This window comes from Homo sapiens, chromosome 2 (assembly GCF_000001405.40).
Source record: "Homo sapiens chromosome 2, GRCh38.p14 Primary Assembly".
Classification (NCBI taxonomy): domain Eukaryota; kingdom Metazoa; phylum Chordata; class Mammalia; order Primates; family Hominidae; genus Homo; species Homo sapiens.
Genome location: NC_000002.12, coordinates 23,176,008 through 23,202,183, shown reverse-complemented (window position 1 = coordinate 23,202,183; position 26,176 = coordinate 23,176,008). Strand labels below are relative to the sequence as shown.

At 41.1% G+C, this 26,176-nt stretch overlaps 2 long non-coding RNA genes across 3 annotated transcripts in view; both read left to right on the top strand.

Moving 5' to 3' along the window:
• Positions 1-3,254: 3,254 nt before the first annotated feature.
• Positions 3,255-26,176, top strand: part of LOC107985792 (uncharacterized) — a 180,825-nt gene continuing 157,903 nt past the window's right edge. Inside the window, exon 1 of the long non-coding RNA NR_171639.1 lies at positions 3,255-3,375. This is a non-coding gene — a long non-coding RNA (uncharacterized LOC107985792). The remainder of the gene's footprint in view (positions 3,376-26,176) is intronic.
• On the top strand, positions 12,260-16,978 carry LOC107985858 (uncharacterized). 2 transcript variants are annotated; one of them, XR_001739334.1, is made up of 3 exons: positions 12,260-14,324; positions 15,788-15,992; positions 16,123-16,978. It is a non-coding gene; the product is annotated as an uncharacterized LOC107985858 (long non-coding RNA). The 2 variants fall into 2 exon arrangements; XR_001739333.1 differs by having other exon boundaries at positions 15,788-16,264; positions 16,356-16,978.

Genomic DNA, 26,176 nt, shown 5'->3' with positions numbered 1-26,176 from the left:
AATTTACCTAATCTATCATTATTACATATTTATTATGTCCAGCTTATATAACGTTTTTCCTATTTTAAATGATGCTCTGATGAAAATCTCTGGAATCTTTGCCACATCAGGGATAATTTTCTACGGGTTAATTCCCAGGCTTGGAATTAATGAAACAGAGAATGTGAACATTGTAAACAGAGGATATAAACAGAGGAGAAAAACATTTTGTGATTCTTGATGCCAAAAATTTTAGGTAATTCTATGATTCCCTTTCCTAACCTGAACACTTGATTTCAGATATGATGTGACCAGTAGATGTAAAAAAGAACCATAATTTTTCTCTCCTGGATACAATAGACAAGTTAATGCAATGTAAAGGAAAGGATTTTTTTTTGTCTTTTGTGTTTATTTTGATTTTGAGCTGGAAAACAATGGCTACCTTTGAGAAAGAGAAAATAATATAACGTGTGAAAGCCAATTCCAGGGTCTTGGAAATTAGGATGTCATCACAGTGGAGCTCTGGGTGAGGCATGGGTTGGGTTATGTCATCCAGGCCATCCTAGAGGATCCCCACTGTCACTGCCAGATCAGAACCCCTATGCAAAGGGACAGAGAGCATCTCATTGCTGACCCTTACTGGGGCTTGCCTGAGTAATGGCAGACTCCAGCCTTTATGACCAGAGACCCAGATTGCCATCTGAACACCTAGACCACCCTACCTCATTGCTCACACAGCAGTCCCCAGCTCCATGAAGTTAGACTAAAAGGTGTGCAGAAGCCTCACTGTGGGGCAAGAGGGACACCTTTGCCACTCCTCCTAGGGCAATCTTAAGTTAGGAGCCCTTAATTCTAAATTTTACGTGCCTCCCCCCCCAACCACAAGAACAACATAATGTTTTGAAAATAATTAATATGTGCCTAATTTCTGGATCCATTGTAGTTTTAACACAATGAGCTGAAAGGTAGGACTTTGAATTTTACTGGGACTGTGCTATGCTTTAACCTTGCTCTTTGGTACAATATCTTTAATATAAATCTATATGTCACATACGCTGCTGTTACATTGTTTTCATATAACCATGTTTGACACCCCATTTGACAATGTCAACATTCACAGTGGTTCCTCAATGCATTTGACAGTATCAGCCCTTAAAATGTTTCACAATACTTCCACGTAAGCACATTTGACAGGATCAGCAGTTGAAATATTACACAAAACTATGTATTTGCAGTTCTGAATACCAGCAGTGACTGTTTTCACAATATCTGTACATAGTGACTGCTCATTCATTCGGTACACATCTTGTTTTTCTTTCGAGAGCTTATGAAACACCAAGCTCTGTGATAGCCTTTTTGACGTTGGGTACAAAGATCATTAAGATTTAATGGACACGCTCATGAAATTCCAAGTAAACAAAAAATCAAATAGCTAATAACCAGCATTTATTGAACACTTACTGTGAGTCAGGATTTGAGCCAAGGGGTTTTCATGCAGCAACTCATTTCATGTAGCTACAACTGAAGAGATAGGTTATAGCAATCCCATTTTACAGATGATGAAACTGAGGTGCTGAATTGTTAAGCAATTTGTCTGAGCAAACAGCTGGATAGAAGTAGAACTTACTGCTCTCAGGCTTTCTCTCTTTACTGTGTGCTTTTCAACTTGGAATTAATGAAACAAAGAATGTGAACATTGTGAAGAGAGGATATAAATAAAGGAACGAACATTCATTATGCCATAATTATTATAATGGTGTGGGATTATAAAAGTGCCTTCAGAACAAGGTAAAGCAGGCATCAATCTCCTGGGGACATTGAAGGAAGGCTTCAGGAGAGGGAAATATTCAAAGGAACTTCAAAAGCTTAATAGAGTGCGGTCAAGTGGAGAAGATGTGAAAATGCAAAAAATGTTTGTAAATTCCAGGAGGCACTTAGTGGTTAAAGAATGGGGTCAAGTTTAGGAGGCCTGGAAGGTGTGTGAGACAGAAGCAAGATTGAGAAGACTTTGAATGTGTCAGGGAGGAAAAACTTTTCTTCTACCCTCTTAGGTTCAGTTACTGAACCTACATGCCTGACAAAAGACAGATAACAGGAGAAAAGGCACAAAATTTTTATTAATATTTATGTGAACATGAGTCCACAGAAAAAAATCAGCGAAACTCAAAGAGGCAGTTAGACTTAGGGGTTTATATACCATTTTAACAAAGGAAAGAGAATTCGGGCTTTGAAGGGATGATAAATTATGGGGAAGTGACTAGGAAATATATTGGGGAACTAGTGGAAGACAATGGTTATTTTAGTAAGGTCTGTTATGCCAACTCATCTTGGTATTGACTCCCATCTCTGGTGATAAGAGTCACTCTGCCCTCCCTTCCTAGTGCAGGGTGAGAGTCACCTTCACAAAGGGAAATTTGTCCCTGCTTTTAGACAGATTCGGGGGTCAGAGAACTCTTCCTCCATCTGTTGATTCTCAATTGCCTTCAGCTCAAAATAATCCACATGCCAAAGGGACATATTTCAGGGTGGCATATTCTGATCCCCTTCAAATGCCATGCTAAATAATTTAGGCTTTATTTTATAGCAATGAGAGGTTTTAAGCATAAATGACGTAGTCAGATTTGCATGCTTGAAAATGCAAAATTGGGGGGTTGTTAGAAGGGAAGCTGCTTCAGGCTGTGCGCCCCCTTGTGGAGAAGAGAGAGAGAGAGAAAGTGAGAGAGATGGAGAACTCTGCATTGGGATTCCCTCCCTTCTTTCCATCTTTCTGAAGGAAAGCTGGGATTTCAATTTTCATCCTCCCAGGCGGCTGCTGTCTGGAGGCTGCTCCATCTGTGCAGGGCTTATCGCTGCTGTTTCCAAGAGGCCGAGCCCCAGAGAGCCTCTTAAGTTCTACAAAGCCCACCTGGGGAGCAAGCAAACATGGAGCCTCCCCCAACCTCTTGAAGGATCTTAGTGGAGGCTGCCTGTGCCCTAGTGCACCCTTGCTGGGTCCTCAGCAAGTCTATCTTGCTCACCCCCGCTTTGCAAATATTTAACTTCAGGATCAGCTTCTCTGGGTGACATCCAAGGGGGAGCTTCAACTTTCTTGTTTATTTTAGATCCCAGGGACGCCCCCACAGGTAGACGAAGAGGGTCCAGAGAAAGGTGGGGATTCCCTAACCCCTTCTTTCTTGGCACAGACAGGCAGAGAACACCTCTTTTCTCACCCCTGGGCAGCCCCAGGAAGTCAATCCTTCCACTATTCCTGCTCCGTGCCTCTCTTCCCTCTGCCCAGATTCCTGGGAGACTCAAAACCCTGTTCAACTCTCTCTGGGCTAGCTGCTCCCCTCCCCAAGAGGATTTCTCTCCAGAGCTGGTATCATCGCTTAATGATGTTCCACCAACAAGGGGAAGGTAATTGATTGTTAAGTGAAAATATAAATTGTAATTGAATCCATCACATTTCAGTTTTTCATTATCGTGTGACAAGTCTCTTAGTGCATTGGCAAGGACTGCAGGGATCAGGGAGGGCTGGAGAGAGAGATAAGGACAGTTGTCTTCCGTTTCCTTATCCAGTGTGGTAGGCTTGCACTTTCAAATTGTAAACTGCCTCACTGGGACTCTTGCACACATGAGTGTGCATGGGTGTGCACACAGCTATGCGCTGGGTCAAATGAATTCATATTCAAGAACTGAAGTGGAATGCTTACAGGTCCTCGGCTGCGATGTGTTGGTCCAGTTTGAGCTTCAGTTTTGTATTTCTAGCTTCCCACTGGACGTTCAGTTTATTTAATAAGTTCATGCTGTCCCAAGCGTTGTGCTGCACACGCTCACTGTTTTGATCTAATTTAGTATTAAGGAGGAAGTATAGTGTGGTGCTTAGGAAGTAGACTTGAGAAACAGTTGGCTTGTATTAGTCTCGTGGTCCCACTGCTTAATAACTGTGTGGCCTTGGGCAAGTTTCTAACCTCTCTGTGCCTCTGTTTTCTCATTTGTAAAATAGGGATAATAATGAATATTTACAGTTTAGGGCTATTGTGAGGATTAGATAGGGTTAGTTTAGGTAAAGCAGTTGGAAAAATACGCCTGGTTAAAAACTGATACCAAATGATTTTGATATCAGGGTCATGCTGGCTTTATCAAGCAAGGTGGGATTTGTTCCTTCTTCTTTATTTTCTGGAAGTGTTTGTGTTAAGTTTGGCACTCCTTCCTCCTTAGTGTTTAACAAAATTCATAGTTTTGATGACAAATCAATTTGTTTCATAGATACGGGGCTGTTTATATTTTAAAATTCTTCTTGTGTACATTTTAGGTTGAGCTTTCAACAAATGTTTCTCTTTTATCTAAGTCAAATTTGGAGGCATAAAGTTGCTCCTTTTATTATATTTGTCTATAGGATCTCTGAAGATCTTCCTTATTGTACTTCTGATACTGGCAATTTGTGGTTTACTTTCTCCTTTACTTCTTGATCATTCAAACTGAGGAGATTATCAACATTATTAACTTTTTCCAAAAAACAACCTCTGACTTTGCTGATTGTCTTTATTGGTTGTCTCTTTCCGTTGCATTTATTTGTCATCTATTTATTGTCTTATTTCTTGTACCTACTCTGGGTTTAATTTACTCTTCATTTCTTAGCCTCTTAAGGTCGTGGTTTAGATGATTGCTCTAATGTGTTTCCTGTTTCCTGAGATAGGCTTCTGAAGCTATACATTTCCCTGTTAGCACTGCTTTAGGTATAGCCTACACAATTTGAAATTGTTAACATTCCACTGAAAATATTCTGTGCTTTCTTTTGTAATTTATTCTTTGATCTTTGGACTATTTAGCAGTATGTTTAATTTCCAAATATTGGGGTGATTTTCTTGGTGTGCTATTGAGATTAGTATCTAATTTAATGCCGTTGTCACCAGAGAATATACTCTTTATGTTATTGGTCTTTTGAAATTTATTGAGACTTTCTAATGGCCTAGCATATGGTTTTTTGGGACATTTTCTGTGCACTTGCAAAAAAATGTATATTTTACAGTTTTTGGTCTGTTTTATAAATGTCAGTTCCATGAAGCTGGTTGATTGAGTTGTGCAGATCTTCTATCTGCTCTCTCCTTTTTTTTTCTTCAACTTGTTCTATCAACTATTGAGAGAAGAGAATTTAAAGTCTCCATTTATCTTTGTGGATTTGTCTATTTATCTTTTTAGCACAGCCACTTTTTGCTTCAGATATTTTGAAGCTCTGTTTTAAGGTGCATACACATTTAAGATGTTTATATATCTTTAATGGACTGAAACTTTTATAATAATAAAATGTCCTTTTATATCTCTACTAGAATTCTGTGTCTTGAAGTCTACTTTAATATAGCTACACTATTTTTCTTATACTTAATGTTTGTATAGTATATTGTTTTCCATATTTTACTTTCAATCTATCTGTGTCTTTATATTAAAATTATGTTTACTGAAAGCAACATAAAGGCTTTTCTTGCTTTTCATTCAGTCTGATAATTTCTGCTTCTTAAAAAGAACATTTAGTTAATATGCATACTTACTGATATGATTGCTTTTAAGTCTAACATCATGTTATTATTTTGTATTTTCCATTCTGTCTTTTGTATCTTTTTATCTTTTTCTCCTTTATTCATTCTTCCTTGTTTTGCGTGAATGAAGCATTTTTAGTATTCCATTGTACCTTTACTATTGATCTTTTTGTTATACCTATTTGTACTATTTTTAAAATGATTGTTGTAGTGATGACACTATTCATCTTTAACTTACCACAGTCTCCCACTCCCATGGTGCCATTTTTGCCCGTTAAAAATTATGGATGGCTCAACCCCAACTCTTCTGGAAATTATGGACTACATGTTGAGCACCCCTGATCCAAAAATCTGAAATCTGAAATGCTTCAAAATCCAACATTTTTTGAGTGCTGACTTGATGCCACAAATAGAAAATTACACACCTGCTCTCATTTGACAGGTCTCAGTCAAAATGAGTCAAAAGTTTGTTTCCTGCACAAGGTTATTAAAAATATTGCATAAAAATCACCTTCAGGGTATGTACATAAGGTGTATATGAAATGTAAATGAACTTTTGTGTTTAGACTTGGGTCCCATCCCCAAGATATCTTATTATTTATATGCAAATATTCCCAAATCCAAAAAAATCTGAAATCCAAAACATTTCTGGTCCTAGACATTTCAAATAAGTGGTACTCAGCCTGTAATATTATTTCATGAATAATGTAAGAAATTTATACAGTAAAATTCCATTTACCCTTCCTACACTTTGTTCTTCTATGTTTTTTACTTCTACATATGGTATTAATTCCATAATACATTTTTAAAATTTTTGCTTTATATGGTCTGTAGGTTGTTAAAAGTGTGTGTGTGTGTGTGTGTGTGTCTATGGATAGATTTAGAGGGGAAGAAAGAAAAAGAAAGAAATGAGAGAGAAAGAATAAAGGAAAAAAACTCTGAAAAGTATTTACACACATTTTAAAGCTTTTATGATCTTCTTTATTCTTCTGTAAAGATCCAAGTTTCCATCTGGTATCATTTCCTGCAGCCTGAAATACTTCTTTTAATATTTCTTATAGTGCAAATCTGTTGGCAAAAAATTCAGATTTTGTTTATCTGGAAAAGTCTGTATCCCACCCTCATTTTTGCAAGGATATTTTGCTGGATAAAGAATTCAAGGCCAGCATGACTTATAATGCTTTTGTCTAATTAAACATCTCATTAAATTGTTTTCTGGACTCCACTGTTTCTAACGAAGTCAGCCATTCTTTGTCATGTATGAATGTCGTGGATCTATGTCTTTCCTTTGATTTTCAGCAGTTTGACTGGTTGCCAAGATGATGGTTTGGTTTGTTTTGCCCCTGCTTGTCGTTTATTGAGATTTTCTGAATCTTTCAGTTGATGTAGAATTCTTGGCTGTCATCTTTTCAAATATTCCCTTTGCTTCATTCTATCTTTTTTCCTGGGACTTTGACTTCATATATGTTAGACCATCTGATATTATTTCAGAGATCTCAGATGCTCTGTTTCTTTTTTTCTCTGCAGTCTTCTCTCTACCTATTTTAATTTGGATAATTTCCTGTTTTCTAGTTGACAAATCCTCTTTTGTACTATATCTAGTTTGTAACCCTGTCAAATGAACTATCTATTTCTGAGATTGTAGTTCTTTTATTTGTTTTTAGCATTTCTATTTTGTTCTCTTTTATAGTTTCCCTCTCCCTAGACAAATTCCCCATCTTTTCACATATTGTCCACAATTTTTTGGATCCTTTAATGTATTTATCATACATTTTTTCCCCCAAACTCCCTGTATGATAAATCCAACAACTGGACCTTCTCTGGATCTGATTTCATGGCTCTTTTCTTGGACCATGGTAAAACTTTCTCGGTTCTTTGTGTATCTCCTAAGTTTTTTACTGTGTGCAAAAACATACATATAAAAGGACTGAAGGTGTAGAATAAACTTTATCCCCAAAAAGAGCACACCCCTTTTCCTGCAAGGCTGGGACTGCGGAAGGGTGAGTTAATCCCATATGGAGTTGAGCTGAGCCTTGGCTTTGTTGCAGCTTTGGTCAGATTTAATTTCCTTCTAGCTTTAAATGTTTTGAAGGTATCATCAAGACTCTCCCTCCAGCAGGGCTTGCAATCTGAGAGGAGGTGAGATTTGGAGATCTCTTTAAGCCTTATAGGTTTCTGAACAATGAGAAACTCCATTTTCCAACCCTATCGCCAACTTTTTGGGTCACTGAAAAATTTTGTATTTTTTTTCCAGTCCCACCCCTGGCTTTCTATTCCTTGGGAAGTCTCTTCCCATCAGGCTACCCCACTCCTGGCCTTTGGATGGCTACTGCAGGACACTATGTGAAGAGCTTCACAGTTTTAAAGGGGTTTCCTCTGCCTACTCGGTCCCAGCTTTAGTCGGCTGTTCTGATCACTGGATGCAAGTCTATGGTGTCTCAGGGAGATTTTTGCAGTTCTCTTTCCCTGCCCCTCCCCACCTGCAATGCGTCTCAGTGTGTTGCACTTAGAGAGGGCCTCATGTGCCTTGGGAGGGGAGATATCTTTCAGGTCTCTGGCCTGCCCCAATCTTTAATACACTACTCCCATACACTTGTTCTAGGTCTGTGGGAAATGTTTGGGGGCTGGATACCGAGTTATTCTCTGAAAGGGATCCCATGGACCTCTCGTCTTTACCAGCTCACACATGGCCATGGGAGGCTTATAAAATTCTTTGGTTTGTGTTCCTTCTTTCACCACACCACTAGGGACGACAGCAGCTGTAAGTCTGTACTCTCCAAGAAAGGGCTCATTGCTTTCTGGAATTTAACTCATTTAGGTTTATTGACATCCTTGGCTCTCTAATGAGCTTAAAAACTATAATTTTATAGCCTATTTGGCTTCTTCCAATGTTAGGATGGCAGTAACATCCCCTTGTGACTCTACATCCTAAACAGACATTCATACTTTACAGCTCTACTCTCTAGAAGCGTTCACTGAGGCAATAGCACGTTTCATATCTGGACGGTGAAAGATTATTTAACTCCAACCAATAGTTGTTTCTTTCTTCTGACAGCTAAAGATCCAGCCATATAGATGCAGACATCAACATTCTTAAATAAAGCTTTTCATTTTTCCAGGTCATTGCTCCTAACATTTGGAAAGCAATACCTAGAGGCATATTAATCTGAATAGGCTGATTTTTGGCTAGGAAGGTTTAATAAAGCAAGTTATTTTCTCTCTGACTTTGAGCAGTAATTTGAACCAGTTCTTCAGCACAGCAGAGACCAAGGCACTCCTTTTGCCCCTTTCTATGAAGGCAAGGCCCATTCTCTGGGGAAGAAGGGGGATAGTTTTGTAAAGTGGAAGAAGTATCTAGGTCCTTTTCTATTCTTATTTTTTCTGTAGTCAGTGACAACTGGTCTAAATGTTCCCCAGTATTCACCACCCATTTGACATAAGAACAACTTCTACTCTAAGTGGGGTTTGATTTATTCTGGAAGTCCAATCTGCCTTTGTTTGGGTTTGAGGCTCTACTCCTCATGGTAACTTGACATCCCACAGTGTCCTTTGGGAGGAGTGCTGAGGGACCACTAGACACTGACAAGGTAGCGTAGGGGGCAAAAGGGCTCGGTTAATTAGGAGGAGGTGGCAAGTGTGCACCCTGTCAAAAATCACAGCTACTGCAAGGAGTACTACTGTTCCTGTAAACCCTTGAGCTCTATTAGGAGGAAAAAAAAAAAAACCTGGTAGGTAGGCATGGTTACAATGCCAGAGGTAATGAGCCATTTTTCATAGTGTAGTAATAATTTTAATTAATAAAGATCACTGCATAGTTCTTGACACTCACAGATGTGAGCATTCACCTAGAATGTACTTAGGAGGGTGTGTGTCTGCACGCATGCAGGCTGGAGAGGCCATTCCGCTCCACGCTCCTGTTCTACGCTCCTGGTATCAAAGCCACTCTCTGGGACTTGGGTTTGGTGTATAATGAAGAAGCAGGAAGAGCAAACTTCAGGCCTATTTCTAGAGAAGAATAGAAACACTTTCTTTAGTAGTATGTCTAGACAGATCCATAAAAGTTAAAAGAGGCATATTTCCAACAACTTTATCATACAATCAGAAAAAAAAATCATCTGGAACTACTAGTATAACACGATTGAGATACTGGTGATATAGAACATAAACTCTGACCCCAGGTCAATTTTGCTACTAGCTTTGGTGATTGTCAACTAACGTTACAAGCATCTTCATAGATTTTTTAATCTACTTCCACTGACTTCTTATGTAGTCTTGAGGAAGCCATCAAACTTGTTTCTATTTTTTTGAGTATGGTCTTCAGAGCCCTACTTGATATTGCCAGTTGGATGTCTAATACCCAACTAAGACTGGACAAGTTCAATTCAGAACTCTTGATTCTTCCTCAGACTTCCTTAGCCCCAATTCCTTAGCCCTCATTCACCTGTTTCAAAGCCACAGCTCTAAGCACCACCTTTACTTTTTTACAATTTGTTTTATTCTCCATATCCAAACCATGTGCAAATCCTGTTGGCTTTACCTACGATGTATACCCCAATCCATCCACATTGTGAATGCACATGTGTGTGCAATGTGCATGTGTATGTGTGCATATATGTGTAAGTGTGTTTATATACATATGTACATATGGATATATATTTTATCCCTCTCTCCTCACTGTTTCTGTAGAATATGAGCAAAGATCTTGACTATCAGCTTTGTCTCTCTAGTGTTTAGGACACTTTGAATAACTGAATGAATCTCCAAAGAAACATCTGGAATTGTAGTCAGGGATTGAATATGTTCTACACTGGAGACACCAAGCTCCAGAGAGGCAGAATTATTTACTTAATTTTACTGGAGAAATAATTTATTGGTCCAAACAGATACTGGAAAGATGCCTGGCAATGATAAAGAACATGAATTTAATGTTCTTTGGGCCAGGTTTGCCTACTGACAGTCTAAGGTTCTGATCTGGCCTGTACAGTGTTATAAAATTGTTGAGTTACTTGAAAACATAAAACAAAGTGGATTTTCTGTATCTCTTGAAAGTGTGGGTTGTCTGGCAACACAGGATGTGCATTCCTGTCTAACAACATTCTGATGCTAGAGTTGAGAAGTGGCTGCCCTTGAGTCAAGGTGCTATTCTCCAGGTGGCCAAGGAAGATTCTGTCCCAGCCCATTTCACTAATTTGCATGACCTGCCTGGTTTCCGTGGGTCTCTGAACCTGAGACCCTGGTCAATCTGGATTTCTACAGACCCTCCTATGAACAGGCAGGTAGCAAGCACTTCCCTAGTGCCCTTCTTTTATAATCAGCCTGGGATCAGTCTCCAGTTCTAAATGGGCACATGGAGATTTCAGAGCCAGTACCTGGTCCCCACGTAGGCCTGGTCACATCATACCACAACCCAGCATCTTCCTTATTCTCTGGTTATGTCCCAGATGTTTTAAAAAAAATATGGTGAAGAGAGGGTGCCCAGCTAGTGTTAACCACAGCCACCACTCTTGGAGACATGACTCAAAATTAAGACCTGCTAATTTGGTTTTTAGGGTCATCTGCCAAGGACTATTTTGACTGGAAGGAGTCATGGCTCAAGTGCTATGCCCTTCTTTGTCACCCCCAGCCAGGACATTTCCTCCTCCACTTCCCTGGGTCAACATAACACTAGTGTCAGGCACGGGGGTCTTTGCAATCAATCTTTCATCCCCTTCACACTTGTATGCTTGGGAAGCTGGGACCCTTCCAGGAAAAGAAAAAGTGTACCTGGGTCAGAGTTGGGGTGTCCCTCATCCCATGTTCTTGTCCTCTCAAATATGTGGCCAATTTCCTGGAGATTTCTGTATCCATCAAGGGTGGCAGGAGGTCAGACTTCTATGAGAAATTACTCCCTAAGATGAAGTGGTGAATCCGAATTTCTCTTAATGTTTACACAACCATACTGCATAGCTGTGGAGTCTAGGAGATTTCCCTTGGGTTAGAAATGCCTATTCATTTTGTTATGTTGGTGGGTTATTCTGAGTCACAGAAGGAATACAAATAGACAACACGAAAGCAGCACATGCATGGCATAAAGCTCAGACTCAGATGCAACCTCCACATTCCACACAGTGGTCACATCTCAGATGTCTTCTCATTTATCCAATTGTTGTTTTAGAACATCCAATGATCAATATGTTTCACTCCTGTCTGGGAGGCTCCAGTAATGAACAAAAGGCATTGGCTGTGGAGAACGCCACTTTCTATGATTACAAGCAATTTGCTAGTTTTCTCAGAAGAAGAGCTTAAGAGGAGTTCATGAAATGTCTGCTTTCAGAATCATTAACTATTGATTAAACTCCCCATTTTACTTTGCACAAATTCTGTTAAAAAGAAATAACAGGGTGAATAACAGTGCTGACCACCGTGCGATCACGGGGCGGCACAGCCTGAGTCAGTGCATGATGTGCTCAGTTTCAGGCTCTTTGGAGAGGAGAGCTGATTGGGAGCATTCGCCTGTCCTGGGTACCTGGTTTCTGCGACAGCTGTATCTTTCACTGTTGAGCTCATCCTTTATATTGATTTCTATTAGTGAATTTATAAATACAGCCTGAGGAATGCTACCCATCCCGCAGCTCTTGAACCATCATTATGATCCAGAATGGTAAATTCTTTGTAGGAGTCACCTTGGTTCAGTTGGGAAAAAAATTACTGATGCGCTTTGAAAACCTAGAGTTCAAGTTTTTTTTTTTTTTTTTTTTTTTTTTTTTTTTTTTTAATATAGCTGAATAGGATTTTAAGAAAGCAGAATTGTAATGTGGAGTGAAAAGAAAAGCGAGAGGTTGGGTCGGAAACTAGGTTATCAGTACAATGCAGAAAGGGAAAATAAATGCTAATAGACTGCACATATGCCCTTCCCACTAGATTAGAGACCAGGAGGGCGCCTGCTGGATTCGGCCCATTGTGTGGCCGAACAGAACACAGGGTCTGGGCTATTATCCCCTCCACAGCCCCTTGTGCCACAGATGGTTCTTCTTGCTTCTCTTATCGGGCCGTGCATTCAGTCTCTGTAGCTTGATCTCTTCCTCACTCTTCTGCTCATACAAAATGGATTGATCTGCTGAAAGAGAGGGGCTGGAGAGAGGCTGTCTCGGGAGGAAAGGGGAGGGTGTGAAGACAAAAGCCGGGGAGGCCAGGTGCAGTGATGGGGTGGGGAGGGAAGAGAGAGACTCAGTGCCTTGCTGGGGACAGCCCCGTTAGCAGTCAGCAGCCTTGTCTCCCCTAGGCCTCGAGCTCAGCCGCCTGGAAAATGGCCTTGTGCCTTTGTGCTCTGGACAGCCAAAGCTCTCAGGTGTTGAACAAGCAAGCAGCGCTGACTGCCTTTTCTCCCTTCCCTGGGGATGCTGAACGTCTAGGGCTGGCGTTGCTGGTGGTCCCCTCCCAGGAGACCCAAAGCTCTGCCTTTGAGCTGACTGACGAGCTGCAAATTCAGCAAAGGTGAGCAGGGGTTGAGAACCGTGGCCTTATGAGAGACAGCCCTCCCAGGAGAGCCAGCTGTCCCAAGACAGCCTACCTGGAAGGATGGAAGGGTCATTCCTCAGGGCTGAATCCAGAGCCCAAGGTGTGCTGAACACAAGTCTCCTCCTGATCTGGATCCACAAGAGGTTGTATGACTGAGAGCACATCCAGGCTCCTTTACTTACAAGCTGTGGGGCCTCCAGACATTTGCCCAGCTGTATTCATAGTGTTACTGGTGAAGATTAAATGGGTTGGTCATGGAAAGATCTCAGAACAATGAGTGGCTTAGAATAATACCTTAAAACTTAGCTATGATTTTCATCATCATCATGGTCATCATCATCATCATCATATATCTATATTAGAACCATTTTCTATTAACATTACATATTATCAGTATTACAATGTACCTCCGTATGAGACATCATGGCATAATTGAGAGAACATGGACTTTGTGGACAGGCAGTTTGAGACCTCACCCTGACACTCAAATCACACAGTATTTGTGTGATTTTTGGTGTGTTACTTCTCTTTTCAAGCCTCAGTTTCCTAACTGTGAGGTGGGGCTAATGCTATAAATTACCCAGTACAGAGCCTGCACATTAGAGCAGTTCGATACATGGGAGCTGTCACTCTTCAGAATAGCCCATGCAAACACATGTTATGTGTACCTGTGCGTGCCTGTGTGTCATTGAGTTTGGGTGGTCAGTTTCTGCTGGTGTGTGTTGAACATAGAACCTAGAAGCAAGTGTCTGAAACAGCAGAACAGACTGGGACAGGGAGAGGCTGGCAAGAAGGAATGTAAGCAGAATCAGAGACAAGGACCTCAGAATTCCAGTCCTGGTTCATTGCCCTAATACCTCTTTCCCTTCTTCCTGTGGCAGGTGCCTGTGGGCTACAGGCCTGGGCCTTAATGGGTCAAGTCCTGCTTGTGGCTCCTGTCAACCTTCAAGCACAACTTCTCTCTCTCCTGGAACTGAGCAGCTTTGTGTACTTTGAAGCCCCTAAATGCAGTTTGGGGGGCTCTTGATCAGGGAGTTAAGAGGTTCAAGTTAATCCTGGCTCCCCATCAGTGGAAAATGAGGAATAGCGCAAGGACCTTTTTCTCAATGTGCCTTAGTTTCACCATCTGTAAACAGAGGGCTGGGGCAGACAAATCCCATATCCCCTGTCCCCCACAGCAAAATCTTACATCCAGATGAAGTGTGTCCTGTCCTCTGAGCATCTTTTTGCTGCATCTTTGCAAGGAAGATTGTAAATGTCGGTGTGAACGTAGAAAGAAGTGTCTGAAACAGCAGAACTGACTGGGACAGGGAGAGGCTGGCAAGAAGCAATGTAAGTAGAATCAGAGACAACGACCTCAGAATTCCAGTCCTGGTTCCCTGCCCTAATACCCCTTTCCCTTCCTCCTTGTGGAACAAGGTAACTTTATCTGAGCAAGAGCTGAAGGGAACCCTAAAGGGAAAGTCTGAACTTTCCCAGGTTCCAGGTGCTGTTGCTCTAATTATTAATAATGATTAATACTGGGGTCTTGCTTTGACCTTGGTGGGCACACCCCTGAGTGGTTCTGCTCTGAGCCCTGAGAGGCAGGGCTCCACCCCTGCTTGTGCAATGTGCCTACACAACCCCAGGGAGCAAGATTCACATTCATTGTCATCCTAAGTTTATATCACCATTATAAGAATTTTCCAGCAGATGGCCATAAAGTGTCTTGAGAAAGCAATGCCCATTTCTTCTTTTGCAACTTGCACAAGGTCACCATATTGGCTAGCAAGGGGTCCGTGAGACCGCATCTCCTTTTGCTGCCACCCTACAGGCCAGGCCTCTTCCCCTGTCTGCTCTTTAGCCTTCCCTGAGCCTCCTCCTTCCAGGTCCCTTGCCACATCATCCTTCCTTCTCCCTCACCCCTATGCTTGGTGTGCCTCTGAGATTTTCCCTTAGTAATTGAAGGAATCTGAGAGGTAAAATGAAGAGCCGCAGGAGAAGGCACACAGCTACAAGCTGTAGAGGGCTTCGTGTCTCAGTTTTGCCCTGAGTGTTTTGGAACATGATGTGCGGAGTCACATCCCTGGTAGTTTTCATGTATGACCTCTCCTCTTTCTGCATTCTTAAGCTGCACTTCTCCTTCCCCATCCATTCTCTCTTGTCCAATATTCCTGGGGTCAAAGAGCCTTAGTCTCCTCTTCCTTCCAAAAGAAATGCCTTATCCTCAGTATGCATTGCTATACCTCTTGCCCTGACTCCAGAATCTTAAGTGTTAAGTCTTAATGCCAGGCCTATGAATATAGAAGTCTGGGATGAGATTTGCTGATGGAAAGAGGAGGCACCAGGCTCTATCTCCCTAGAAATTCGCTCCTCCATGGAGGATATGACCCAAGAAACTCTTAGAAACAAAGCCAGAGTAACCACCAACCACATTAACCCCACACAGGAGGGGTACTACTTTTAGAATGGGCACTCTGAGGCCTGAGGATATGAGGCTCTTGGATCCTGGTGTGCCCTGATGTATAGTGCCTTTTGCCTTCAACAAGAAGCTCATCTTTTTGAAGGAAACTTTAGCTAGAATCTAGAGAGTTGGAGTTCGAGCCCTGCCTCTGATATTTTCTACCTGTGCCACCTATATTAGGTGGAAGATGCCATATACATGGCTGGAATTTTTAACCTGTCCCCTTCTCTTTCTCTCAGGCAGCAATGAGGTTTTGAGACCTGGCAGTTTTAGGTGGACTGTCTCCACCAAGGATAAATAAACATTATTTACATCTGGTGATTGACTTTCACATCCATCTTTATTTCTCCAGCATTTGATATTAAGCCCCTGCTAAACATCAAGCTTGTCATGAAGAAATGAGGTCAGCACACAAAGGGAATGCCCCTTGGAGAAACTCAGCACTCCATTTGGAGCTAACTGGACCAATTCTTGACCAGTGAAAAGATAAATCCAGTGTAAGGTGCAAGCACCTGCTTTTAACATGATGCCATTGTGATTTTAGCTGCTGCTCACAGGTAACTATCGCTCTTCAAGTCTTTCCTTCCTTGTACTAGTTAATTCTCACAGGCCAGACCTGTAATTGAGGGATGAGATTTACACATTTGCAGCCCCCGGCTTTCCTTCTCGGCTTTCCACTCCAATTAGGTTCCCAAGACATGAATCTACAGATGATCCATTTTCCCAGATCCAGAGCTGAGCCCTGATGAAGCCACACATCTCACCTCACGGTGGTGCAGTTCTGTGGGGAGGCCGTCTCTGCAGGATGGAACCCCTTCCCTCTCAAGAGGTGCCAGGAACCCAGACCTATCACAAGGTGACCCCACTTGGGGGTAGTTCAGGGATCTGCCTGAACCACTTCCTTCTTTGATTTTCCACAGGGTCACTTGCAGAACAAAACTGACTCTGGGAAAAGAAAGTCTTCAGTATTTTGAATCCATTGATACACAGGTGAAACAAATCAGTTTGCATTTTCCCTATACTTTCAACACTTTGTTTCTGAATAATAATAAAAGAGTTCCTGAAGCAAATACTATTTTGAGCCTAATTTCTGGAGGCTCCTAGCAGGCAAATCACTCTTTCTCTTGCGGTGATGTTCTTTTTAGTCTTAAAAAGAAAAGACTTAAGGGAAGAAGCTGTCTTTTATTTTTCAAACATTGAGCAGGTGCCTTGAGGAAGAAGCCCTGGGTGCCTTGGTGGCTGCGGTGGGTAGAACAGGGGGAGACAGGTAGAGGGGGCAAGTGGAGATTTGGACTGGAAAATAGAATACTCCAGTTCAGCAGTTCCCAACCAGGCTGTACAGTAGAGCCACTTGGGGATGTTTTAAAAAGAACCAATTCCCGCTCCCCTCCCTAGGTAATACTGATTTAGCTTGTCTGGCACAGGGCCTGGGAATCTGCATATTTGAAAGACCCATTCTCTACCTAGGAAATCAGAATTATTACAGGAGAAGTGTGGGAACTATATTTTAAAAAAATGGCTGGCTAGGCACGGTGGTTCACACCTGTAACCCCAGCACTTTGGGAAGCCAAGGGGTGGGGGGGTGGATCACCTGAGGTCAGGAGTTCAAGACCAGCCTGGGCAACATGGTGAAACACTGTCTCTACTAAAAATACAAAAATTAGCTGGGCACAGTGGCGTGTGCCTGTAATCCTAGCTACTTGGGAGGCTGAGGCAGGAGAATTGCTTGAAACTGGGAGATGCAGGTTGCAGTGAGCCAAGATTACGCCATTACATCCAGTCTGGGCAACAGAGCAAGACTCCGTCTCAAACAAACAAACAAACAAACAAACAAAATGGCCCACAGTGATTCTGAGGCAGCCAGGTCCTGGTGCACAGACTGGCATTTTCTAAAAACTAATGGCTATTTCAAGTTGCTCCACAAAGTTTTGGGGCTCCCTTTTGTGGTACAGCACCCTGTCACTTGCTAGAGCACTCAAGCAGGCACTTGTACAGGTGCTGCAGGGAGCTCCTTACTCAAGGGTGGGGCTGCCAGTGATCTCACAGATGTCCTCTGACTTTGCATCAACAGCTGGAGATGTCATCCTTGTCCCACAAAGCTGTTCTGTCTGATGTAAAGCCATGTTCAGGTTTATGCCCAAGGTGAACAGAAGACGGGCCTGGTGCAGTGGCTCCTGCCTGTAATCCCAGCACTGTGGGAGGCCCATGTGGGAAGATGCTTACCATGTTCAAGACCAGCTTGGGCACCATTGTGAGATCCTGTTTCTACAGAAAAATAAAAAAAGTAAAAATTAGCCAGGTGTGGTGATGTGTGCCTATAGTCCTAGCTACTTGGGAGGCTGAGGTGGGAGGATTGCTTGAGACCAGGAGTTTGAGGCTGCAAAGAGCTATGATTGTGCCACTGCACTCAAGCCTGAGTGACAGAGAAAGACCCTGTCTCCAAAATGAAAAGACAAAACAAAAGAAAAACACATGTTTGGGTGGAAAGAAAGAGGCCGGGGTGGAAGTGGTGGAGGTGGGTGGTGGAGTCTTCTTTAAGCCATGATAGCCGCACTTGTGCCAACCTCTGTAAACCCTGGGAGTAAACTATGGGCTTTCCTGCATTGAAAATTTTGTTTTACAAAAATCTTTCTTTTTGGTTAAAGCACACTGCACATTCCTCTCCATGTATCCGCTTACGCGTCCACTAAGACTCACCACACATCCCATTTTCCATGAAGCCCTCATAATGTAATTAGCAGTCACCTCTGCATGGCAGAGCCTGAGAACAGCACTGGCATCATGAGATGGGAGCCAGGTCCTAGATGGGGACCTTGGACTTAGGCTGGGAGCCAGTGGTGCCTGGGGCTCCTGAAGCCTTCACACCCAGTGTACCTAGCAGGCCTTGGTAGCCTGTACATCACCAGTGATAATCTGCATATCTATGGGAGAGACACAATAAGGCTTCGCCCATGCCAGGTGGGAGAGAGCTTAATTTAATCCTCCAGGGTTGTATGTTTTAAAATCAAACAAAACAGATCAATTCTTAAGTCTGAAGACCTAAGTTTGGTTCCTTTTTAGTCAGAGATCTTGGACAAATCAATGTTTTCGATCATCAGATTTCTCATCTGTAATATTGGGGTAACAGTACATAATTGGGTTTTCAAAGGGGTTGGGTAAGATTATGTTCAGTGCTGTGTAAATAATAAATATTATAGAAGTATGAAGAGTTATTACTGCTACCTAAAACTCTGGGCTTAGGAGAATTATGGAAAGCTAACATCTGAGTCAAAGGATTTTATTTGATGTTTTGAACCCCAATTTCTAAGAAAAAAATGTACCTCTCCTTCTTTCCCTCCCTTCATGCGAGGCACATTTATTGGACACTCACTATGAGGACTTGGCACTGGGATACTAAGAGGAACAAGACCAGGTCTTTGCCTTCGTATACCTCGTAGTCTAGCGAGGAAGACAGACTGATAAAGAAATAGATTATTCTAAATTGTGATGTGTACTGTGATAGAGGAATGTCCTGGGTTTAGAGATTGGGAAGGGCAGGGAATGATTAAGTAGAGGCAGGAAGGGCTTCTTTGTAAAGCTAATACTTGCACTGTGTCTTGAAGGAATTGTCCAGGAAGATATGGAGGTATGAAGGGCCTTTCTGGTAGAAAAGACAATAGAGCTTGGTTCAGATAATGAGAAAACACACAAACGGAGGAGCTTGATTGTGATTTTAGCCCTAGAGAAGGAGCAGATTTATAGTAATTTTAGTGACTCTGAGCTAGGAAAGACTATTGGACACTTGTATTCTTCACATAAAACAGGATAAAAAGGATGAGAGGATTGGAGATAGAAGTGGGATCTTACAGAATCTTGACAGTGAGAAGTGTTGATCATAAAAAATGGCATTCAATACAGAAGAATATAAACTTCTGTACTTGTATTCAAAACCTAAACTGCCTGTGAATAGGGTGGAGGAGACAGTGCCAAGCTGAGGTATGTACTGAAAAATTCAATACATATACCCAACGGGATAATGTGACCTAAAATTCTAATTGGCCCACAGAAGTCATTACATGAGATGACATAGCAATAAATGCACATTAATATCATGTGGGCAGCTTTAAGAAAAATATGGATACTTACAGCCATCCCCGTATCAATCAGATCAAAGTTTTTAGTGGTGAGGCCCAACTCCAGGTCTTGTTCAAAATCCTCCTACATGATTTAGAAGTGCAGCTATGGTGGAGAATCATTGTAATAAACTGAAGTGACTAACAAAACTGCCTCCCCACAGACGTTCAAAACTGGTAACTCTCCCGTGACCAATATGTCACTGCCCAGAAAGAAGCATTGACTGCTTTCCTTAATCCCTACTGGTTAGACTGTGTGGGCTGCTTTCTTATGGCAACTGCCTCATCAGATGGACAGGTGGAACTTCCTGTCAATTGCTAAGAGTATATTTCAAATCTCCCAATATAATTGTGGATTTGTCTATTTCTCCCTTTAATTCTGACAATTTGTGCCTAGTGTATTTTGAGGCTCTGTTATTAGGCTGATATGAATTAACAATGTTACACCTTTCTGATAGATTGACCTTTTTGCTTTCATGAAATGTCTCTATCTGTGGTAATACCCTTAGTCTTGAAATATGTCAGATACCAGTACAATCAGTCCAGCGTTCTTATGCTCAGTGATTGCATAGTAAATATTTCATTAATCATTTATTTTCAACCCATCTGTGGCTTTATCTTTAAAGTCCATCTCTTTTTTTTTTTCGTTTTTTTTTGAGATGGAGTCTCGCTCTGTTGCCCAGGCTAGAGTGCAGTGGCGCGATCTCGGCTCACTGCAAGCTCTGCCTCTTGGGTTCACACCATTCTCCTGCCTCAGCCTCCCGAATAGCTGAGACTACAGGCACCCGCCACCACGCCCGGCTAATTTTTTGTATTTTTAGTAGAGACGGGGTTTCACTGTGTTAGCTAGGATGGTCTCGATCTCATGACCTTGTGATCCGCCCACCTCGGCCTCCCAAAGTGCTGGGATTATAGGCGTGAACCACCGTGCCCGGCCTCTAAAGTCTATCTCTTATAGACATCATATAGTTGGGTTTTGCTTTTTTAGTAGAGACGGGGTTTCACTGTATTAGCCAGGATGGTCTTGATCTCCTGACCTTGTGATTTGCCTGCCTCGGCCTCCCAAAGTGCTGGGATTACAGGCGTGAGCCACCGTGCCCGGCCAAGGGGTTTTGCTTTTTTAACCATTCTGAAAATCTCTGCCTTTTAACTAAAGTGTTTAGTCCAATTAAATTTAATGTAATTTTGATATGGTTGAGTTTCTACATAATATTTTACTACTTATTCTATTTGTTTTATATTTGTATTAGTCCATTTGTAATGTTATAAAGGAATACTTGAGCCTAGGTAATTTATGAAGAGGTTTATTTGGTTCTGCAGGCTGTACAGGAAGCATGGTGCTGGCATCTGCTCTTGGTGAGGGCCTCCAGCAGCTTTCAATTGTGGCAGAAGGCAAAGGAGGAGCAGGCATGTCACATGGTGAGAGAGGGAGTGAGAGAGAGAAGTGAAGGTGCCAGGCCCTTTTTAAACAACTAGCTCTTGGGTGAACTAATAATGTCAGAACTCATTACCATGGAAGGGCACTTCATGAGTGATCTGCCCCCATGACCTAAACACTGCCCTCTAGGCTCCACCTCCAACATTGAGGATGACGTTTCAACATGAGATTTGGAGGGGACAAATATCCTCAACCATATCAATGTTTTTCTCATTTTTCTTTTTGTTCCTCTGTCGCTTCTTTCCTGAATTATTTTGGGTTAACAGAATATTTTATAGAATTCAATTTTAATTCATTTCATTGGCTTTTTAGCTATACCTCTTTACATCATTTGTTAGTGTTTTTATGTGTGTGTGTGTGTGTGTGTGTGTGTGTGGTGGTAGTGGTTCTCACACAGGGGTGATTTTATTTCTCAGGGGAATTTGGCAATGTCTGGAGACATTTTTGGTTGTCACAACTAGAGAAGTACTACTGGCATCTGGTGAGTGGAGGCCAGAGATACCACTAAATATCCAACAGTGCACAGGAAACACAGCAAAGAATTATCTGGCCCCAAATATCGATAGTTCTGAGGTTGAAAAATCTTGCTCTGTGGATGACAATATACAACTGTAATTTTCACAAACTACTTAGAAGTTTCTATTTACTTCGTATAAAGAACATTGAAACTGTAGAGCAAGTTTCCTCGTGTCCCCATGCCCCCTTTTAGTGGTCAAAACACTTAACGTGAGATCTACCCTCTTGTTATGCAATGCTGTACAGCAGATCTCTAAAGCTTAATCATCCTGTGTAGGTGTAACTTTATACCCGCTGAACAATGCTTCATTCCCCACCCCCTTCATCCCCTGGCAGCCACCATTTAATTTTCTTACTCTATGAGTTTGACTATTTTAGATGCTTCGTGTAAGTAGGATCATGCAGTATTTGTCATTCTGTGACTGACTCATTCCACTTAGCATAATATCTTCCAGGTCCATCCATGTTGTTGTAAATGGTAATTTTTTTCTCCTTTTTTTAAGATCGAATAATAGTCCACTGTACCTATATAACACATTTTCTTTATCCATTCATCTGTCCATGGACATTTGGGCTGTTTTCATATCTTGACTATTGTGAATAATGCTACAGTGAACATGGGAATATAGGTATCTCTTCAAGATCCTGATTTTAGCTGGATGTGGTGGCTCACACCAGTAATCTCGCCACTTTAGGAGGCTGAGGAGGGAGGATTGCTTGAAGCCAGGAATTCAAGACCAGCCCAGGCAACAAAGTGAGACCCTATCTCTACAAAAAATTAAAAAGTTTCCTGGCATGGTGGTTTGTGCTTATAGTCTCAGCTACTTGGGAGTCTGAGGTGGGAGGATTGGCTGAGCCCAGGAGTTTGAGGCTGCAATAAGCAATGATTGCACCACTGTACTCCAGCCTAAATGACAAAGTGAGACCCTGTCTAAAAAAAAAAAAAAAATCCTAATTTGAATTCTTTTGGCTCTATTCCCCAAAATAGATACATGGTAGCTCTATTTTTAGTTTTATGAGAAATTGCCAACTGTTTTACATTGTGGCTGTATCATTTTACATTCCTACCAAGAGTGTACAGAATTCTAATTTCCCCATAACCTTGCCAACACTTGTTGTCTTTTGTTTTTTTTTGATAGTAGCCATCCTGACAGGTATGAGGTGATATTTTATTGTGGTTTTGACTTGCATTTCCCTGATGGTTGGCGATGTTGGGCACATTTTCATATATCTGTTGGCCACATGTACGTCTTCTCTGGAGAAATGTCTATCTTTGTCCCTTGCTCATTTTTAAATTGGATTTTTAAATTATTATTATTTTTTGCTATTAAGTTGTGGATTTTCCTTATATATTTTGGAAATTGACACCTTATCAGATACATGGTTTGCAAATATGTTCTCCCGTTCCAAAAGTGGCATTTTCACTCTATTGATTGTTTCCCTTGCTGTACAGATATTTTGAGTTTGATAAATTTGTTTTTGACCAAACAGGCGAGATTTTCAGCAATTATTTCTTCAAATTGTTCACTTTTTTTTTTTACTTTCTCTTCCTTCTGGCACTTCAATTATGAGAATCATCTTTTGAGATCGTCCCATAGATTGGTGAGGCTCTTTTCATTATTGTAATGATGTTTTGTCCCTGTTCTTTAGATTGGATAATTTCTATTGCTCTCTCCACTGACTTTGTTCTATTGTCTTTAAGATACTATTAAGTGCATCAGTGCATTTTTGTTTGTTTTTAATAGAGTTATTGAGGTATAATTGAAATATAAAATGTGTATATTTAAAGTGTATAATTTGATGAGGTTTACATCCATATACACCCATGAGACAATCACCACAATCAATATAATGAACATATTCACCAATCCCAAAAACTTCCTCATGCTCCTTTGTAATACCTCTCTTGTCGCTCCCTTGCTCCCAGGAAAGCATGATCTACTTTCTGTCACTATAGATTAGTTTGCATTTTCTAGAATTCTATATAAATGAAATAGGACAGTTGTTTCTTTTGTTGTCTGCATCTTTCACTTACATAATTATTATACTTTTCAACTATGTTGTTGCATGTTTCAACACCTCATTCACTTTCATTGCACAATAGTATTCTATTGCAAGAATATATCAGAGTTTGTTTATGCATTGTTGTTTCCAGTTTTTGGTTATTCTACGTAAAATTGCTATGAATATTCATGTACAAGTCCTTGAATGGAAGTATGCTTTCATTTCTCATGAATAAATATCTAGTAGATGGATGTTTAACTTTTTAAAAAATAACAAACTGTTTTCCAAAGTGGTTGTGCCATTTTACACAACCAATCAGCAGTCTATAAGAGTTCCAGGCCAGGTGTGGTGGCTAATGCCTGTAATCCCAGGACTTTGGGAGGCTGAGGCAGGTGGATCACCTGAGGTCAGGAGTTTGAGACCAGCCTGGCCAACATTGTGAAACCCTGTCTCTACTAAAAATAGTTAAAACAAATTAAGTGGGCATGGTGGTGGGTGCCTGTAATCTCAGCTACTTGGAAGGCTGAGGCAGGAGAATCACTTGAACTCAGGAGGTGGAGGTTGCAGTAAGCTGAGATCGTGCCATTGCACTCCAGCCTGAGCAACAAGAGTGAGACTCCGTCTCAAAGAAAAAAAAAAAAAAGAACAAAAAGAGTTCCAGTTGCTCTAGATTGATGCCAATGTTTGGTATGGGATGGCCAGTTTTTAATTTTAGCCACTCTAGTGGGTATGTAGTTGTATCTCATTGTGGTTTTTAATTTGCATTTCTCCAGGAACTAATGATGTTGGAGCAACTTTTCATGTGCAAGGTGATATCCACAAATCTTTTTTTCTGATTATTTGCTCAAATCTTCTGCCATTTTTCATTTGGTTGTTGATTTCTTATTATTGACTTTTGGGTTCTTTGTATATACTGATATAAAGCCTTTATCAAAATTAATATTGAAAATATTTTCTCATAGCTTGTAGTTTGTCTTTATATTTTCTTTTTTTAAAATTATACTTTAAGTTCTAGGGTACATGTGCATGATGTGCAGGTTTGTTACATATGTATATAGGACCATGTTGGTGTGCTGTACCCATTAACTTGTCATTTACGGTAGATATATCTCCTAATGCTATCCCTCCCGCCCCCGCCAACTCCATGACAGGCCCCGGGGTGTGATGTTCCCTACCCTGTGTCCAAGTGTTCTCATTGTTCAATTCCCACCTATGAGTGAGAATATGCAGTGTTTGGTTTTCTGTCCTTGTGATAGTTTGCACAGAATGATGGTTTCCAGCTTCATCCATGTCCCTACAAGGGACATGAACTCATCCTTTTTAATGGCTGCATAGTATTCCATGGTGTATATGTGCCATATTTTCTTAATCCAGTCTATCATTGATGGACATTTGGGTTGGTTCCAAGTCTTTGCTATTGTGAATAGTGCCGCAATAAACGTACATGTGCATGTGTCTTTATAGCAGCATGATTTATAATCCTTTGGGTATATACCCAGTAATGGGATGGCTGGGTCAAATGGTATTTCTAGTTCTAGATCCTTGAAGAATCGCTACACTGTCTTCCGCAATGGTTGAACTAGTTTGCAGTCCCACCAATGGTGCAAAAGTGTTCCTATTTCTCCACATCTTCTCCAGCACCTGTTGTTTCCTGACTTTTTAATGATCACCATTCTAACTGGTGTGAGATGGTATCTCATTGTGGTTTTGATTTGCATTTCTCTGATGGCCAGTGATGATGAGCATTTTTTCATGTGTCTGTGGGCTGCATAAATGTCTTCTTTTGAAGACATTTCTTTGAGAAGTGTCTGTTCATATCCTTCACCCACTTTTTGATGGGGTTGTTTGATTTTTTCTTGTAAATTTGTTTAAGTTCTTTGTAGATTCTGGATATTAGCCCTTTGTCAGATGGGTAGATTGCAAAAATTTTCTCCCGTTCTGTAGGTTGCCTATTCACTCTGATGGTGGTTTCTTTTGCTGTGCAGAAGCTCTTTAGTTTAATTAGATCCCATTTGTCAGTTTTGGCTTTGTTGCCACTGCTTTTGGTGTTTTAGACATGAAGTCCTTGCCCATGCCTATGTCCTGCATGGTATTGCCTAGGTTTTCTTCTAGGGTTTTTATGGTTTTAGGTCTAACATTTAAGTCTTTAATCCATCTTGAATTAATTTTTGTATAAAGGTGTAAGGAAGGGATCCAGTTTCAGCTTTCTACATATGGCTAGCCAGTTTTCCCAGTACCATTTATTAAACAGGGAATCCTTTCCCCATTTCTTGTTTTTGTCAGGTTTGTCAAAGATCAGATGGTTGTAGATGTGTGGTATTATTTCTGAGGGCTCTGTTCTGTTCCATTTGTCTATATCTCTGTTTTGGTACCAGTACCATTCTGTTTTGGTTACTGTAGCCTTATAGTATAGTTTGAAGTCAGTTAGCATGATGCCTCCAGCTTTGTTCTTTTGGCTTAGGATTGTCTTGGCGATGCGGGCTCTTTTTTGGTTCCATATGAACTTTAAAGCAGTTTTTTCCAATCTGTGAAGAAAGTCATTGGTAGCTTGATAAGGATGGCATTGAATCTATAAATTACCTTGGGCAGTATGGCCATTTTCACAATATTGATTCTTCCTATCCATGAACATGGAATGTTCTTCCATTTATTTGTTTCCTCCTTTATTTCA